Source organism: Homo sapiens, chromosome 11, assembly GCF_000001405.40.
Source record: "Homo sapiens chromosome 11, GRCh38.p14 Primary Assembly".
Taxonomy (NCBI): Eukaryota; Metazoa; Chordata; class Mammalia; order Primates; family Hominidae; genus Homo; species Homo sapiens.
This window is the reverse complement of record NC_000011.10, coordinates 118430284-118448077: the sequence shown is the minus strand read 5'-3', so window position 1 is coordinate 118448077 and position 17794 is coordinate 118430284. Positions and strand designations below refer to the sequence as shown.

General features: G+C 45.3%; 1 protein-coding gene across 9 annotated transcripts in view, besides 6 other annotated features; it reads right to left on the bottom strand.

The window, feature by feature from the left end:
* Positions 1-11586, bottom strand: part of KMT2A (lysine methyltransferase 2A) — a 90341-nt gene extending 78755 nt beyond the window's left edge. For 5 of the 9 annotated variants that reach the window (XM_011542829.3, NM_001412597.1, XM_011542830.3 and 2 more), the window contains exons 1-2: positions 11134-11586; positions 8956-9054 (exon numbers count right to left, since the gene is read on the bottom strand). In XM_011542829.3, coding sequence (XP_011541131.1) covers positions 8956-9054; positions 11134-11565 — 531 coding nt within the window. In that variant the 5' untranslated portion in view covers positions 11566-11586. The remainder of the gene's footprint in view (positions 1-8955; positions 9055-11133) is intronic. The other 4 variants (NM_001197104.2, NM_005933.4, XM_006718839.4 and 1 more) reach the window with 1 other exon arrangement.
* Positions 9620-10617: an enhancer, noted in NCBI's record as "H3K27ac-H3K4me1 hESC enhancer chr11:118308176-118309173 (GRCh37/hg19 assembly coordinates)". NCBI's record gives its function as "activates a minimal SCP1, AML or CMV promoter by ChIP-STARR-seq in primed H9 embryonic stem cells {active_cell/tissue: H9 hESC(primed)}" and the evidence as "EXISTENCE:reporter gene assay evidence [ECO:0000049][PMID:30033119]".
* Positions 10618-11616: an enhancer, noted in NCBI's record as "H3K27ac-H3K4me1 hESC enhancer chr11:118307177-118308175 (GRCh37/hg19 assembly coordinates)". NCBI's record gives its function as "activates a minimal SCP1, AML or CMV promoter by ChIP-STARR-seq in primed H9 embryonic stem cells {active_cell/tissue: H9 hESC(primed)}" and the evidence as "EXISTENCE:reporter gene assay evidence [ECO:0000049][PMID:30033119]".
* Positions 10618-12614: a biological region, named in NCBI's record as "H3K27ac-H3K4me1 hESC enhancers GRCh37_chr11:118306179-118307176 and GRCh37_chr11:118307177-118308175".
* Positions 11488-11967: a silencer, noted in NCBI's record as "silent region_3944". NCBI's record gives its function as "represses an Ori minimal core promoter by ATAC-STARR-seq in GM12878 lymphoblastoid cells {active_cell/tissue: GM12878}" and the evidence as "EXISTENCE:reporter gene assay evidence [ECO:0000049][PMID:35858748]".
* Positions 11617-12614: an enhancer, noted in NCBI's record as "H3K27ac-H3K4me1 hESC enhancer chr11:118306179-118307176 (GRCh37/hg19 assembly coordinates)". NCBI's record gives its function as "activates a minimal SCP1, AML or CMV promoter by ChIP-STARR-seq in naive and primed H9 embryonic stem cells {active_cell/tissue: H9 hESC(naive and primed)}" and the evidence as "EXISTENCE:reporter gene assay evidence [ECO:0000049][PMID:30033119]".
* Positions 12278-12417: an enhancer, noted in NCBI's record as "active region_5592". NCBI's record gives its function as "activates an Ori minimal core promoter by ATAC-STARR-seq in GM12878 lymphoblastoid cells {active_cell/tissue: GM12878}" and the evidence as "EXISTENCE:reporter gene assay evidence [ECO:0000049][PMID:35858748]".

The window sequence follows — 17794 nt, the reverse complement described above, 5'->3', positions numbered from 1 at the left end:
ACTGGAAAGTAATTATTGCTTCGAGGAGCTGAATAAGAATTTATTTACTGATTCACAGAAGGAAAAGGTAGCTTAAGAGGTCATTTTATACATATGTAGGCAGGACTGTACTTTTAAAATATACTTCCAGAGAAGATAATAAAATTATTTTGGTAACCTTTTTACCATGACTGTAATGACAACCATCATTACCAATAAGTTCTTTACACAACTACTCCTGATTTCGGTTTAAACCTATTTTCTCTTATTCTGCTGTCAGTGGAGCTGGGAAACCGCTGGTTACCATTCCTAATAATGGATCCATTCATGTTTTTTGAAGAGTTATTAAGTTGCCTCTTAACCTTTCATTCTCTCAACCTTTCCTCATAGGACTGACTTCCAATCATATAATCATCTTTTGAGTCTCCTCAGAACCGTCTCCAAGGTCTCCTCATCCCTTTTAAGTTGAGGAACCTAGAAATGGAAACAACACTCAAGTAAGGGGATGATCAGTGCTAAGTATTATCTACATAAAAGATAATGCCATCCCATCAGGATACCCTAACATCGCTTTCAAAACCCCAATCAATACCTTTACAAAAATGTCGCATCATGGCACCTGTGCTTTCCTTTGCCATACTTAAATTAGTATTTCTTAATGATTAGTCCAAATATTCTGTTCGTAGTCTTAAGTTCTCCTAGTTTATGTAATGTGTCCCAGCAAAGTATTCCTAAAAGTTGTATGGACATCAAATTTTCAATTCAACAAATACTATATAAAAAGTCACCATTATAAAAAACATAAAACATAAATGATGACTTAGAAATGGCCCGTGTCTTAAGGGAGTCACTATCTAATGGGACAAAGACAGACACATTTCAAAAGTACCACGACATAAGGTATACGGGGTTAAATTTTTTAAGGATAACATACAAAACACAAAAAGAAAACAGGAAAGAAGTTCAGTTTCAACTAGCAGTACAATCTGTGAAAACTTCATGGAAGAGTTAGGATCTGGGGATCTGAGTTGAACCATGGGAGACGAATAATAAGCCCAAGACAGGTCAAAATGGGAAAGACTTTAAGGCAAAGGAGAGGCTTTAGCAAAGGTACAAAGGCAGATAAACAAAGACTGTGGAGAACACCTAATAGTTCAGTAGTCCAATGTGGTTGAAGCAGTAACGATGTACATTCAGGAGACACGGTTCAAAATTTAGAAATACAGGCTAGCAAGATCATGCAGCGCTGAGAATCTGAAATTTTATTTCATATTCAGTGAGAAGCCAAAGAATTTTAGGAATAAAGTGACATACTCTGATCTGTATTTAAGAAAACTATCATATTGTGAAGCACTGTGTAGGGTGAAAAGATAGGTGGGAAGACCAATGAGAAGATTACCACAATAAACTATCCAAAAGTAATGGAAATTTAAACTAGGACAGCAGGAACAGAACAGCAGGGACAAATGAAAGAAACACTACAATAATATAATGGACAAGACTCAGAAATTGATTGGATGTGAGTGGGAAGAGAAAGGACTTAAAGACAGCACAGTGTAGAGAGCAAGAATCAACTTTCAAACAGATGTAGGTTCAGATTTAAATTCTAGCCCTGCCACTTACTAGCCATATAACTTAAGGAAAACTGTTTAACTTGTCTGTGCCTCAGTTTCTGAGGTGTATTGATGGTTTCTGATGGTGTACTGAGTATGTTAGCAAATCTTTTCTTTTCTTTTCTTTTCTTTCTTTTGAGACACAGTCTCACTCTATCCTCCAGGATGGAATGCAGTGGTGTGATCTCAGCTCACTGCAACCTCTGCCTCCCGGGTTCAAGCGATTCTCATGCCTCAGCCCCCCAAGTAGCTGGGATTGCAGGTGTGCACCACGACATGTAGCTAATTATTGTATTTTAAGTAGAGACAGGGTTCCACCATGTTGGCCAGGCTGGTCTCAAACTCCTGACCTCAAGTGATCTGCCTGCCTCGGCCTTCCAAAGTGTTGGGATTACAGGATTGAGCCACCCCACCCGGCCTGCAAATCTTTTTAAAGAGAGTACAGCAAAACTGTACTTTTCTTTTTTTCTTTCTTTTTTTTGGAGACAGAGTCTTGCTCTTTCGCCCAGGCTGGAGTGTAGTGGCGGAATCTCAGCTTACTGCAACCTCCACCTCCTGGGTTCAGGCGATTCTCCTGCCTCAGCCTCCCGAGTAGCTGGGGATACAGGTGCGCAACCACCACACCCAGCTAATTTTTGTATTTTTAGTAGAGACAGGGTTTCACCATGTTAGCCAGGCTGGTCTCGAACTCCTGACCTCAGGCAATCTTCCCGCCTTGGCCTCCCAAAGTGCTGGGATTATAGGCGTGAGCCACTGCGCCCAACCCAAAACTGTACTTTTCCTCCTTAAACACACTACTCTTTACTAGTTATTCTTAAACTCTAATCTGCTTTTGACCATTCTGCTCAAGTTCCAACCCCCAGAAATTGCAACCTACAATTCAGCATTTCTTCTATAATTAAATGGTTACTTGCATTGATCTCTGTAGACCAGCACTCATTCTCCTCAAGCTGACACTTAAGAACAAATGTCATCAAGTATAGACTAATGGGTCTGAACCTGGAGCCCAAGAACCCTGAAGAGCCTCAGAGCTGTTATAAGGAACGACCAAGTGCCTCCTCATAAAAATATCAGGAACACTAGTTATAGAGACAACAGGTAGCAACCCCATTATAGCTGCCTTGGCCTGATAATTAGCAACTCATGGAGGCACTGTGTTCCTCGGTATCTTACTTGCCTATTTACCATCTTGTTCTCTTTCTTCTTTTTTGCCTTATCTTTAATATGCTTTAGTTGGACACTAATGTTGTTACCAAGACGGGTGGCTGGCCTTCAATTTGGTTCCACCTAGTTTATAGAAGAACTTGACACTCAGACTAATATCAAGAACATTCTAAGATTATAGCACTCAAATAGGTGTATGTATGCATACATATACAGGTATAACTTAATGTAATAAAAACCAGTTATTTTGATGAAAAAAAAAGATTATAACCCTGCTCTCCTTTCAATCTCTTGGTTCTAACAATTAGGGCTTCCTATGTGCCAGGCAAAATGCTAAGTGCTTACATGCATGATCTCACTTAAGCCTCACAATGAGACTATGAAGCATGAGTACCTCTCAGTTACAAATGAAGAAACAGAGGTATGGAGAGGTTCAAAAACTTTTCTGGTTGGGTGCAGTGCCTCACATTTGTAATCCCAACACTTTGGGAGGCTGAGGTAGGGGGACCACTTGAGGCCAGGAGTTCAAGACCAACCTGGGCAACATGGTGAGACTCCCATCTCTACAACAAATAAAACAATTAGCTGAGTGTGGTGGTGCATGCCTGTAGTCCCAGCTACTTAGGAGGCTGAGACAAGAGGATTGCTTGAGCCCTGGAGGTTGAGGCTGAAATGAAATGTTTGTGCCATTACACTCTAGCCTAGGCAACAAAGCAAGATCCTGTCTCAAACAAACCAAACAAAACACAAAAAAAACTTTTTCAAGATGGCTGAGCTTAGATTTGAACTCAGGCAGTTTAAATCCAGAGCCCATGGTCTTAACAACTCTTAATTACTATGCTAAACGATCTCACACCACTACAGATTAGATTATGAGATTCTCCCTTTCTTCTGTAAAGGTATTTATATATGCACAAATAAAAAATCCTAGCCAAAGAGATTACAAAAGGATTTCCTCATTAGCTAAGCTTAAAGAGATGTTATCCACAAGGTTTTACTGCTTATAATTAAAGGCAATAATCTAGGGACAATGTTTGTGTTTGATCTAAAAAGTGGTCAATCCTCATGGATGGACAGAAGTTGAATATGGGCATGTGTAAATATTTCTTTCTCTAGGTGTAGGATATTTATTAGAGATAAGAATTAACTTTTCCCTAGTGTTTAGAACTGAGATAGTATAAAGGACAGCCTAAAGAAAAAACTATTCTCCAAAACCCTTCTCACAAGTAATATCACTCTCCTAATTCAAGACAGAAAGCTACCATTACCTTGATGCTGTAAAATAAGAATGAAACAATGATGCTTCAGCAAAGCATAGATAATACAAGTGGATCTCTCTAAAACAGTATGAATGTTAGAAAGATTCATATCTTTTGTTGCTGAAAGACATCAAAACATCTATACCCAAACATCCCAACAAAACACAAAACCAGAAATGCAAGAAAATGGATAAAACACTATATACGGAAGAAACTCCAGCTCCTGAAATAAATGCTACTGGACCGATGCTGCCCACTGGTACTTCACAGGGTACTGCTGCAGCAATAATTGAAGGTAAGATATCTGGGGAAATCCCTTCAGTCTATTTGTCAAATAGAAAAACAACTACTCATTTCAAGGGAAGGGGAATTTTCATACACTGCACACAAAACTGCCAACTAACTCTTATATCTTTGTTGTTTCCTTAAAACTAAAACTCATTAGGGCAATACATTCAATTCAACATCTAAAAGTTAAACCAAGCTTGGCCTCTTAGAAGTTTTGGACTAATCCTTCAAGGGGATTTATATCATCCACAACAATTACAAATCACGTAACAAAATTCTTCTTTCAAATGTCTTAAGTCTTTAGAAGCGAATGTTTGGCAGCAGCTACAGTCTCATGGTTGGCTTCCCCTGGTGTGTAACCTGACAAGGTAAAAAACTCATTGAAATATTTAACAGTGGTGGTATGGATTTCTTTGGATAGGTCAAGAAAAGCGGCTCATCATTTTAAAAACATAAAGAACCATTTTATGGGAAGTCATTCCCTCAGTCCAAGTGTCTCTGTATTTCCTCAGGGTTTTTGCAGAGACTTTATTGAGGGGCAAAATGAAAAGGCTAACAAAAGGACCCCTTTTTCCTCCCTATTCCCAGCATAATCTACCTCAGCCACAGGGCCAGTAGCATCCACACTGTCATAAATGCCAGCAATTAGAGAATTAGGCCATAAAACCACCCACTCAGGTATAAGAGTGCAGGCCTCCAGCTTTATTTAATGCATGCCATAAAAGATCCTGTACTTCCTTCTCCCAGGCCTTCTTCAACAACCAATGAAATGACAATAACAACAACAAAAATAGCCCTTTGTCTGCGTAACCTCATACTGATGTGATCAATGAAGCCATCTGGGTCCAGGTAAAGGACTTAAGATTCCTTTTTCTTAATAAAAGATAGCATTTTCTCTAGCATGCCACATGTAGATCTAGTAAAGAACATACTGTATTTTGAATACGAAGGTCCTGGAAACTAAAGTCAAACTACTTTTTCCAGAAAAGCTATTTTATCTTATTCTGAAAATACTCTAGAAGCCTAGACAATTCCTGAAAATCTCAAGAAATAGTGGAGCCTACAAGGGTATTCTTAATTAACTCAACAATTTCCAGAACCTCCTAAAGTCTTTCTAATCAAAAGTTAACTCAGATCTGAAAGCTAACTTTAATTCAGTCTGTGTCTCAAAGCCGATACAACTTAGGAGCAATCAATAATTTCATCTGATTGTCTTGTCTTCAACAACCTCAGAGTCCACAAAAATCACGAGTCTGAGATTTACTCCACGACAATATTTTACTCATCAAGTTTCATAAACCAGTCTAGATAAGATCCAAGGAAATACTTTGTAACAGTGAACTCTGTGGCATCCTCTTTCCTACTAGTGCCTACAGGGTTAAGAATCTGATTAAAATGTAGGTACATCATGCCAGACTCATTAGTAATTTAACCTTTCTTAATCCCTGAAAATAACATATGCAAACAAAGGAAGGTCCCATCCCAGCAATCCTCGAATAAATTCCTCCCAAAGTAGTGATAGTCACAAAGCTTCCCCCTTCTCAAAGGTCTATGCCACTGGGCTCTCCACCTTGGCAGAGGAAGAATGGAAAGAGACAAGATATTCACAAAAGGCCCGATTGAAGGCCTTCAGTTAAGTGCTAGAAGGAAGCTGAAGCTCTGTGCCAACACTAGTGGAATGTGGGCAGGCACAAAGAGATCTTAATTAGGAGACCTACAATTAAAACACAGCGAGTTTCCAAAAGAGAGAGGCACTGCAGTCTGTTATGCCTCTGAGCAAGCAAAGCACTGTTGCCACCCCCTCTAGCCACAGGGTAAGGGAGGCAATTGGTATAGAGTCTGCACAGCTGCCCCACGGAAGGACAGCTCTAAGGTGAGCAAAGAGATGAGAATTAAGTCAAGATGGGAATAGTTTCTCTCAACTTCCAATAAGAAGATGGATCACTATTGTGTGAATGATGATTTCCTCCAGGAGTATGTGCCTTAAGATAATTAAATGGAAGTGAAAGATGGGGACATGTCATCTGGTTTTCAGTCACAGAGGAAGAAAAGTTCTAAAGACTGAATTTCTAATGCTCAGTATAAACCATTTCAGAACATATTAATAACTACATCCTATGAAGTAGGTACTATCACTTCAGATTTATAAATACATTGATGTATTGGATTTTTCTTTTCATTCAAAATTCATACACCTACAGGAATATACCACCTAGACTGAAAATAACTTCTCTTTTGGATAGTCTGGAATTCACAACAATGACAACACATTTAGCCAAACAAGAGGGCCTCTAAACACCAGATAATGCCTGGGATTCTGTAGGTTCTCAGAACTATGTGTAAAAACTTTATCCTCATTTTTCTTATAAATGAAACTGGTCAACTTCCCCAAAGTCCTTATGTTTTTTCCACACAACGAAAACTTTCCAAGTTGAAATTTCTCCTCCTAATAATAATGCCAGTTATATAGGCAAATGTATAATCTGATATTAAAAATTACCAAACAGAATCCCAGCTACTCAGGAGGCTAAGGCAGGAGGATCAGGAGTTCAAGATGCACCTGGGCAACATAGTGAGACCCTGACTCAAAAAAAAAACAAAAATTATCAAATCGTCTCACTTGACTCTGACTTTTGAAATAAACTCAGAATAAGAAATTCTGATTTGACCAAAAGTTTAATACAACAGAAAGGAATCATAATACTGACACAGAACAGATTCATGAGCTATTTAGTCCAAACTTTTCATTTTACAGATCAGAAATTTAAGGTTAAAAGTGAATTTGCCCAGGGTCTCATAACTGTTCAGTAACGGAGATGAGAGCCCACATCCACTGACTTCTACTCGGAGGCTTCGTGCACTCCACTCTGCTTGTGTTCCCTCCTTCATTTACCTTCTGCCAATCTTAGGACTAGCTGTGAAGGCAACGAAGGAGCAACTCCCACTCTTGGTACATACATGACCAGTAAACATTAAAAAAAAAAAAAAAAAATCACGCTCTCCTACTACCTTTCAGCTGCAGGAGTACTATCTTTTCAAGTCCAATCCAAAAGCCTGTCTCAGTCCACATGAACTAAACTGCAATTTCAAGTGAAAATAAATACACACCAATGCTGTAACTCAGTTTCAATTTGTATCTAATTAAAGTTTGCTATGTTATGATCAGGATGGAAATTTTGCTTTTAATATTTTGTGAAGTAGTAGGGAAGGTAACTGGATTATGACATTAATAAACGAAGACTAGTTACTGATAAACACACTGTTTCAGGGGTTTATTATTACAACAGCCTAACTTCTAGTCAACAGAAAGGGTGCTGCTGTACTATGTTTATTTAGATGGCAAAGTACAGTAGTATGAACATTACCTGAGAGAATCCTTAGAAAAATGGGATACTGACACTACAGAGGGAAGGGGAAAGGCAAAAAATGGACCTCTGATTTCTTACAGTGCTCAATAAAACAAAACCTCAATTCTACTTCCTAATTGTCATACAAAGGAAGTTAGGAACCAACAGCAGTGAAGGACAAGTCTCCTATGGCTAAGGGAGTTCAAACAGCAAAGTCATCTGGAAGTTCTGTTACCTAGTTTTAGAAGTATTAACATAGGTGTTGTTACATAGGCAAGTTATAGTCATTATTCACTGAAGGCGAACCAGAGTTTAAAGAGGTTAGAATCATTTTGGATCATATAACCATTTCTTCATGAATCCAGATAAGACTTGATACAGAGCTATGAGTGAGTTCTGAGAAGCAGTCTTTAGAATTCTATGTCAGCCCAGGGTGAACCCTAAACTTCCCTTTTGGAACTTTATCATTGATTAGTAAGGCTATGTTAAAAAAAAAAAAAAAGTGCTTGCTTCTACACTGAAAACTACCAGCTCAGAGGTTTACCACTACTCAATGCATACCATCAACTCATACTGGATTGCCTCAAACACCACATAAAAAGCTTACCCATGGAACAGAGCTCATTCAAGTCCAATTCAGAAAAAATACTCAAGTTTAATGTAAGGAGTCAACCACTCTTCTCATAATGAAGCAGCAACTACTGTTCAGGAAAAAGTTTTAAAGACAAAAACCCCTTATAAATATGATCCTATTTGAAATAACTGCAATTCCTTGACAGGCTTTACATTATATACTAGTGTTAAGAAAAATAAAACAGTAGTTTACAATTATCTCATAATGCCAGTAGATAAGAAAACGTTTAGCCCCTGATTAAAACTTTAAAAGTGATTTGTCAAAGACCAACAGATAAAATATTCTGGTGCCCAGACATTAGGTCCCTGAATCCAGGTGGCTCTCTTTCTAACCAGTCTCTTGAAAAACTATGATTGGAAGCTGTCAGCATAAAACTTTGCTTTTGAATATGTGATAATATTTGGAATGTGAATGCTTAGTCCTTCTATACAAAATAAATAAGCATACTGAACAAGAAGAAAATGCTTCTTAGGATCCCCTTAAAATGGACTAACTTCTCCTAATAGAGACTTTCTTATTAAACTCAAATATACATGGGGCTAAAATGCTACATATAACCAGGCAAGTCTCAATTTTGAAAATAAGCAGGTAAATGAAATGTCAGTTTTTTCTTTTTTTTCTTTTTTTTTTTTTTTGCTGCTGTATCTTTTAAAAAAGCAAAATCAACTCACATTTAAGCACCAACTCCATGCAAGTAACCTGAACGGTTCAGTCTTTTTGTCATGTATGTGGCCTTTGGTTCTCCAACTACATGGGATCTGTGTTGTTAGCTTAAAAAATACAGAATTGGCCTTTCAAAAAAAAATAATAATCTACAGCAACCAATAAATAGTCTCAAACAACCCTGCTGACTGCAGCTGCCTTCTGAAGGCTGGGAAAAGGAGGTGGAGATAGAGCAGAAAGAGGCAGGGAAAGGGGACGCTGCAGCTAGCTACATAGCAAGGAACACGCCCCCATCATGTCCTCCTTGCTCTGTCAGAAGGCGGGTTGTTGTCAGTCTCCTGATCAGGCTGCCTTAGAAACGATTAAAAAAAAGGAGGCAGGAAGACTAACAACTAAAAAATGCCAGCTCCTTGAAAGGAGGGGCCAGGGTCCTTGGGATCTCCTCCCTCCCCTTCTTCCCAGGATCTTTCCGTAAATCTAAAGGGGTGCGGGGCACAATAGGGGACAAGGGGTTTGCCCAGGATATTTTGTGTGCACCAACGGCAGAGCACGCAGGAAACGGCTGGTTGTTATCTTTCCCTTTCTGTTTCAATCAAGAGCACTCCAGAGCAGCAACCCCCTACCCCCCTTCGCTTCAGCCCCTAGCAGCTGCTCTTCCTCCTCCTAGCATCCCCCATGCCATCCTCCCCCCTCTACAATTCGAACTCCCCCCTTCTGCATCCAATGGAAAACAAATGCGCAACGCCACTGGCTGAACCTGAACTCAACTTCCCTTCCTTGGGCAACTTTCCTTTTTGCTGAAGGGGGCCGAATAATGTTTATAGAAGCAACTCCGTTCTTGCCCCAGTACTAATGGGGAAGGGGCAACGCTCTGACCCTTCATCCACCTTGGGTCCCCTTACAAGAATCAGAGACAACCCCAAGTCCTTTCTAAGGAATAACTTTGCTTGATAATCCTTTTTCTCCCATCCCAAAGCAACCACCGCCACCACACTAAAGTATAACTGTCCCTTATCTACTCTCCTCACCCCAACCTGGCTTCCCCCACCCCTTCCAAGCCCCAGGATTGGCCTAGGAAAAGGTGGATCAATAATGAAATGACGAGAAGAGAAGGGCGGGAGGGAGCTCGGGTTGGAGACTGCGTGCTCTCAGGCGCAGTGGGTGGGGTAGGAGAGCAGCTGCTTCCCCTGGGAGGATGCTGCCTCAGTCCCCCAACAAACACCTCCCCTCACAGGGGCCCCCTTCCCCAGAGCTGGAGGGAAAGCCTGCCTCCTCTCCAAGGGGAGTGGTGGAAAGCTGCTCTTCTCTAAGCCTAGGGGACAGTGGACTATTTTCCCCTCCAAGATGCCACTAATCCTTCATTCTAAAGGAGGGAAAGGGTGGAGTGAAGGTAGAGTAATTCCCGGCTACCAATAGGCTAGAAACTGTAGCCCTGTAAGACGGGGCGGGGGGGGGAAGAGACTGCTGTATGAGGAATCACCGTTATCTTCAGAGGGAAAGGAGGTGAGACCAGGCAAGGTGCAGAGGAGAGATTTTCCCCGGTGGGGTAGGGCGGGATGGGGGAGGATCGGTCTGCTTGGGGTGGGGGTAGAGGGTGGAGGTGAAGGAAGGGGGAGTGGCTGGCAGTATAGGGACCTGGCCCGGGGATGGCGCGAGGGTTCATCGGGTTTTCGAAAGCAAGGTGCTGGAAGGGACACGATCCCCAAGGGCCAGGAGAACGTGGCCCTGGATGAGGCCATCACCCGAGAGACGCCCGAGAGGAAAACTGCCCTAGGAGTAACACATCTGCCCAGAGAGGGAGGCGGGGATGTGGCGGGATCAGGTCTCTAGGAGGGAGGGAGGGAGGAATCTTGCTCGGATGAGGTAATCTGTGAAAGGGAGGAGGGGTTCAGTCCCGGGATGGGAAACCCCGGCGAGGGGGTCTGTGCCAAGGGATTTGGGGAAGGGTCAGGGGGAGGAGAGCGGGGGGCAAACGCCCTCAGCCAGATGGGCCCAAACCCCGGGGTGGGGGCGCCTGGGGGTCTGCAGCCCTGCATGGGGGTCCCAAGATGGGAGAGCCATTCGCCCCGGGTCAGGGACCCCGAGATGGTCCCAGAATTGGGATGCTCCTCAATCCCGGATGGGGGAGGGGAGGGGGCTCCGCAGAGGGTCGAGACCCCGGACCTGGGGGTTCCTCGCCCCCTTACCTCTCCGCTGCCGCCTCCCCCGCCGCTCTCCCCAAACACGGCCCGGAACCGGCGCAGGTTGGTGCCGATGGCGGCCGAGACCTGCAGCGCCGCGTCGAAGCCCGGGCCCACCCGGAGCAGGGCCGGCCCTGAAGAGGCTGAGGACGATGACGAAGACGAAGACGAGGCGGACGACGAGGAGGCTGCTGAGGCGGCGGCCGCTCCCCCTGGAACCCCAGCCCCGCTGCTTCCCGCCGCCGCCGCCGCGGCCGCCACAGCCGGGGGGGAGGGGGGCGCCCCGGGGCCGCCACCGCCGACCGGGGGCCCGGGGGGAAGCAGCAGGGCCGGGACGCGTTGCCGCGGGGCGCCCCCTAGGCCCCGGCGCCCCCCGCCGCCGCCGCCCCCGGTGGTCCCGGGTCGGGCGGGGAAGCGCCACCGACAGCTGTGCGCCATGTTCGCCCCGTGAAGTGAAGCAGCGAGAGGGAGAGGCGACAACACAGGGGGGCGGGGAGGCGGAGGGGGGGGCACGGGGCCCCGGAACCTGCCTAACCAGCTCTGCGCCGCCCGGCCGCCTGCACCCTGCCGGCCGCTATGCAGAGCGCCGGGCCGCGCCCGCCAGCCCCGCAATCTGTATAGCGGCCTCGGGCCTCCGCCTCTGACGCCTGGGCGCTGCAACTCCATCCCGAGGCCCGGGCCGCCGCCTCCTGCCCGCCCGCCGGCCCCGCAACCTGGATAACTGCATGCCCCGCCCTCCGGGAGAGGCATTGCTCGGGAAAAGGAGGGGGGAAGGAAGCCCGGGAGCCCGGAGCAGAGCGCGGGTTCCGGAGAGAGGGGGAGGGGGCGAGGACTACGCGGAGGATGGAGGCGTAGGGAGCCGGGCCGCCTGCAGCCTTGAGCGCCGAGAGGCCGATTACACACGTTCCCGGGACGCGCTGGGAATCGAACAGCCCGGGAGAGCAGCTTCCAGTATAACGCGGCGGCTGGGTCGGGGAGCAGTGAGCCTTCTCCTCCGCCCCAGGGCACGGATACAAGATGGGTTAGCCCGAATTGAACGCTTCTAGAATAAAAGAGCCCTTATTGTACTACATGCAAAACAGAAGCGCTGCCCAGTTTACTATATGCAAAACAGAAAGGCCCTCAATGAACGCACTTTAAAAAATAAAAAAGGAGCCCCTCCCATTTTCATGCTGGAGCTCTTTCCAAAAAGCACACACCGAGTGGCAGGTCTCCTGCCACCTCCTCGCTCTACTGTGCACTCGTCTGGCTTTCGTGCCCTTCTGCAGGGAGTTGGGTTGTGTTTCTCCAGCCCGGGCACTGAGGCCACGGCGTGCTCCGCTAACGACGCGGTGTTACAACGAAGCTGAAGCTGGGTGGCTAACGGGGCCTGGAGGGAAGAGGCGGGCAAAAGCGCCCCCGCCCCTTCTTCCTCCGGTCTCTGCCTGCCGCTGCATGCAAAGCAGACCCTAATGTATGCACGCAGAGGGAGGGGGGCTCGCGAGCACGTTTCTGATTAAGAGAGGGGGAGGAGGAGAGCGTTGGGCATTATGATACACTGGGTGGAAGGGGCCCGCCGGCGGCGAGCTCTGTGCGCGGGGTTAGTAAGCTGAGGGGGGAGGGGGAAAGAAGGAGGCGAGTTAGGGAGGGGAATGAATATCCACCGGGTTTACTTTATTGCGGGAAAGAGGGGAGGGCGCCTCGAGCATAGCGTTAGACGCCTGCAAGGCTGGGAAAGCCGAGAGGGTAGGGAGGGGTTTGTGTCGGGAGAACTTGCGTTGGCTGAGGCTGGGGGATCGATACACAGCCTGCAGGCCCCGGGGCAGCCTCCATCCCCCAAGCCGAGGGGGAGTTCGCTGGAAGGTCATGCAGCCTTCCTGGACTCCCGCACCGGTACAGCGCACTGCATGTAATATTACAGCCTGGGGCGGCGAATTTGGGAAGGAGGGAGAGGGTCGTTGTGAGCAGGTTGCACTCAGCTCTGGCCCTCCGGAGGGTGCACTTCACGCCTCCAGAGAAGGTCCACAGCCTCCTGGTGCTGAAAACCTACGTCCCTCCACTGGCGAAACATTTGTGCAGAGCGGACGATGGGATGGGGGCTGGAGAGGAGCAATGAAAGGGAGGAGACACAGGCAAGCCTCAACTCCCCCAACTCGTCCCGAATCGATCTTCGTTCCAACCGCGCAGGATGGGGCCCAGATGGTTTGCAAAGCGCACACTCGCACAACGCAATACACAGAACAAGATTCCGTTGTTACAGCGCGTGGTTTACTAGATGCTAAAAGGGTGGGAGTAGCAGGAGGGTCTTAAACGGCAGCCCCAAGGCTCTGCTAAGGACAGAGACACCCCATTGTGGACGGTTTCTCCATTGCAATATATTTAGCGTTGGGCGCTGGGGTTTTTGCTTCAGTGTAGCTGCTCTGATCAGTTACAGATTGGCGACCACGTGGATTCCCTCAAGCATCCTGATTTGTTCGTTCTCTCTCTCTCTCTCTCTCTTTCTCTCTCTCTCTCGTCTCTCTTATTTTTCTTTTGTATTTGCCGCCCCCCCTTCTTTAATATGCATAACGGTCTGCAGAGGTAATAGGCAGGGGACTGAATGACAGGCTTTATATAACTGTGTCAACAGATTTCTTCCCGCCTTCTACCCTTGAGAAAACATGAACCGGGTGGGTTCTGAGTAACCTCACTTCAAGCATTCTTCATTTAACACAGGTGGGAGGTCTGCAGGTTGCAAGGCAGCAGAAAGAAGGAAGAATGTCTTCGAATATTGTGTGGAGTCCCCAGACTCAAGCCTCTGAGCAGAAAAACTCCTTGAGAAATCATATAGTTTGTCTCTTTGCCTCTAGACTAGTCCAAAAGGAGCCAGAGCAAGTCAGAATTTGGTTTATTGTTGGAGATTTTAGGGCGAAAATATTAATAATAACATTTTTCAGTGCTTTCTGTGAGCCTAAGTGCTTTATGTGCACTCAATTCTCTCCAATTCTATAAGTTTGATTTTACATATGGGGAAACTGAGGCTTAGAATAATGTCTAAAGTCACACAGCTAGTAAGTAGAAGTGCTAAAACTCACTGGGGTCTGACAGCAAATATCCGTTAACCATCCTGCTGATCATAAAAAGACATTACGACTCCTGTAATCCCAGCACTTTGGGAGGCCGAGGCAGGCGGATCATGAGGTCAGGAGATCGAGACCATTCTGGCTAACACTGAAACCCCGTCTCTACTAAAAATACAAAAAATTAGCTGGGCGAGGTGGCGGGCGCCTGTATTCCCAGCTTCTCGGGAGGCTGAGGCAGGAGAATGGCGTGAACCCCGGGGGGTGGAGCCTGCAGTGAGCCGAGATCGCGCCACTGCACTCCAGCCTGGGCGACAGCAAGACTCCGTCTCAAAAAAAAAAAAAAAAAAAAAAAGACATTCTGTGCCTTACACATTAGGTACCTTAAATTCGATGTGCTTTACTTATTTTTTATTTTAAATTTTCATTCAACATATTTTTCTTGAATACCTAATACATTCATATGGTTAAAAATTTAAGGCCGGGCACGGTGGCTCACGCCTGTAATCCCAGTACTTTGGGAGGCTGAGCTGGGCAGATCACCTGAGGTCAGGAGTTCAAGAACAGCCTAGCCAACATGGTGAAACCCCCGTCTCGACTAAAAATACAAAAATTAGCGGGTGTGGTGGCGGGTGCCTGTAATCAGCTACTCGGGAGGCTGAGGCAGGGGAATCACTTGAACCCGGGGGGCGGAGGTTGCAGTGAGCCGAAATCGCACCACTGCACTCCAGCCTGGGCGACAGAGTGAGACTCCATCTCTAAAAAAAAAAAATTAAAAAAAAAAATTTAAAAGGAGGCCGGGCGTGGTGGCTCACTCCGTAATTTGGGAGGCCAAAGCGGGCGAATCATGAGGTCAGGAGTTTGAAACCAGCCTGGCTAACATGGTGAAACCCCATCTCTATGAAAAATACAAAAATTAGCCGGGTGTGGTGGCAAGTGCCTGTAATCCCAGCTACTTGGGAGGTTGAAGCAGGAGAATCGCTTGAACCTGGGAGGCAGAGGTTGCAGGGAGCTTAGATCCCACCATTGCACTCCAGCCTGGGCGACAGAGCAAGACTCCATCTCAAAAAAAAAAAAAAAAAAAAAAAATTAAAGGAATTAAAGTCCTTAAAGTCCTCACTTTATTTTTGCTCTGAATCATCCTCTCCCCAACCTCAGTAATATTACTTACCCTTTAGTAGGAGTAACTGTTATCAGTCTATTGTATATTCTTCCATACATAGTCTATGCCTACAAAAGCATACACATATAGAAGTTTTTGCATAAATAAAAGCATATCAAACCAATTTCCTGAATCTTGCTTATTTCACTTATATCTTGGAAATATTACTATAAGTAGACAGTTTCCTCATTATTGGGGCTGTATGGAATAGAGATAGAGCTTACTTTAATCAGTTCTCTATCGGTGGGCACTTGAGTTGTTTCCAATCTGTTGCATGTATTTCACACAATGCTGCAGTGCATAACCTTTAATATACGTCATTTTGCAAATGTTCAAATGTATCTGTAGTATAGATTTCTAGAAGAGCAGTTGCTGAGTCAAAAGGTATGTACATTTGTAGTTTTAATAGACAGTGCCAAGTTGTCCCCGGTAAAGGTTATGCTAATTCATACTCCCACCAGCAATGTTCTAGAGTGCCTTTTGGCTGGGTGCAGTGGCTCATGACTGTAATTCCAACACTTCTGGGAGGCAGAGGTGGGCAAATCACCTGAGGTCAGGGGTTCGAGATCAACCTGGCCAACATGGCAAAACTCCGTCTCTACTAAAAATAGAAAAATTAGCCTGGCGTGGTGGCACACACCTGTAGTCCTAGCTACTCAGGAGGCTGAGGCACCAGAATCACTTGAACCGGGGAGGTGGAGGTTGCAATGAGCCAAAATCACCCCACTGCACTCTAACCTGGAAGACGGAGAAGAGTGTCTCAAAAAAAAAAAAAAAAAAGAAGAAGAAAAAAAGAGTGCCTCTTTCATAATTCCAGGACTTCGGGAGGCTGAGATGGGAGGATCTTGAGCTCAGGAGTTTGAGACCAGCCTGGGAAACTTGGCATGTGCCTGTAGTCCCAGCTGCTAGTGGAGCTGAGGTGGCTGAGGCTGCAGTGAGCTGAGATCAGGCCACTGCACTCTAGCCTGGGCAAGAGAGTGAGATGAGACCTTGTCTCAGAAAAAGAAAAAAAATAATTAATTAATAAAATAAAATAAAATAAAATAAATAATAGATAAATAAAAGTGCTCCTTTCTCCACAGCATTCCAAAAAGGGTTTTTTTTTTAACTTTTTTGATCTTTGTCAACCTAATGCACATATTTTAAATTTTTTCCAAGTGACAGAAGGAAACTTTTAAGAAGGGAACCCCAAATTTTGCCAATTTCTGCAAACGAATTAATTACTTCTGTTTAAGGGGACTTCTAGATATTTATTCCCTTTCCCCCTCACCTGGAAAGATTTATCTTGAGAACCAATATTGTGACAGAATTAACATCAGCTCAGAGTCACAAATCTGGGCTTGATTTGCATGTCCAATAATGTTAGCTATATGATCTTGAACCAGGCACCCAGCCTCAGTACGTCTTAGTTTCCTAATCTGCAAAAATAAGGATATTAATTATAGCTTCACAAGATTATCATGAAGATTGAATGAGTAAATAAGATGTCTTCTCTCTAATCCAGACAGAAACATTTTCTCCCCAGGGATTTCCTTAACCACTGGTGCGGCTGCCCCTCTGAAATTAGCAATTTTTTCTCCAAAGGGCCCCCAAGTGGACACATTGCATCAGTAGTCCCAAAGTCCTCCAACAAAGAACAGTGGCTGAGTTATTTAAGCTTGTCCAAAGGAAGGCTTGATCATCACTGAGCAGAGAACTGTTCAGAATCCTCAGGTGCTGCTTTTTTTCTGGGGAAAAAAGGGTACAGTCCATTACTCTTCCACAAAAACACTCTTCTAATTAAGGAAGCAATGGCTGCATTTTACCCTGAATCCGTGAATTTCCATTTCTGAGCTTTAAAAAAAAAAAATTATATATATTGGCCGGGCGTGGTGGCTCACGCCTGTAATCCCAGCACTTTGGGAGGCCAAGGTGGGTGGGTGACCTGAGGTTGGGAATTCGAAACCAGCCCGGCCAACATGGAGAAAACCCTGTCTCTACTAAAAATACAAAATTAGCTGGGCGTGGTGGCGCATGCCTGTAATCCCAGCTACTTGGGAGGCTGAGGCAGGAGAATCGCTTGAACCCGGGAGGCAGAGGTTGCGGTGAGTCGAGACTGCGTCATTGCACTCCAGCCTGGGCAACAAGAGCAAAACTTCATCTCAAAAAAATAAATTATATATAGCTATTCCTATGACTAAAAGGACTTTTTTGTTTGTTTGAGACAGAGTCTCACTCTCGTCCAGGCTGGGGTGCAGTGGTGCAAACTCGGCTCACTGCAACCTCCGCCCCAGAGTTCAAGCGATTCTCCAGCCTCAGCCTCCTGAGTAGCTGGGATTACAGGCGCCCACCACGACACCCGGCTAATTTTTGTACTTTTTTTTTTTTTTTTTTTTTTGAGACAGAGTCTCGCTCTGTCATCCAGGCTGGAGTGCAGTGGCGTGATCTCAGTTCACTGCAACCTCCACCTTCCGGGCTCAAGGAATTC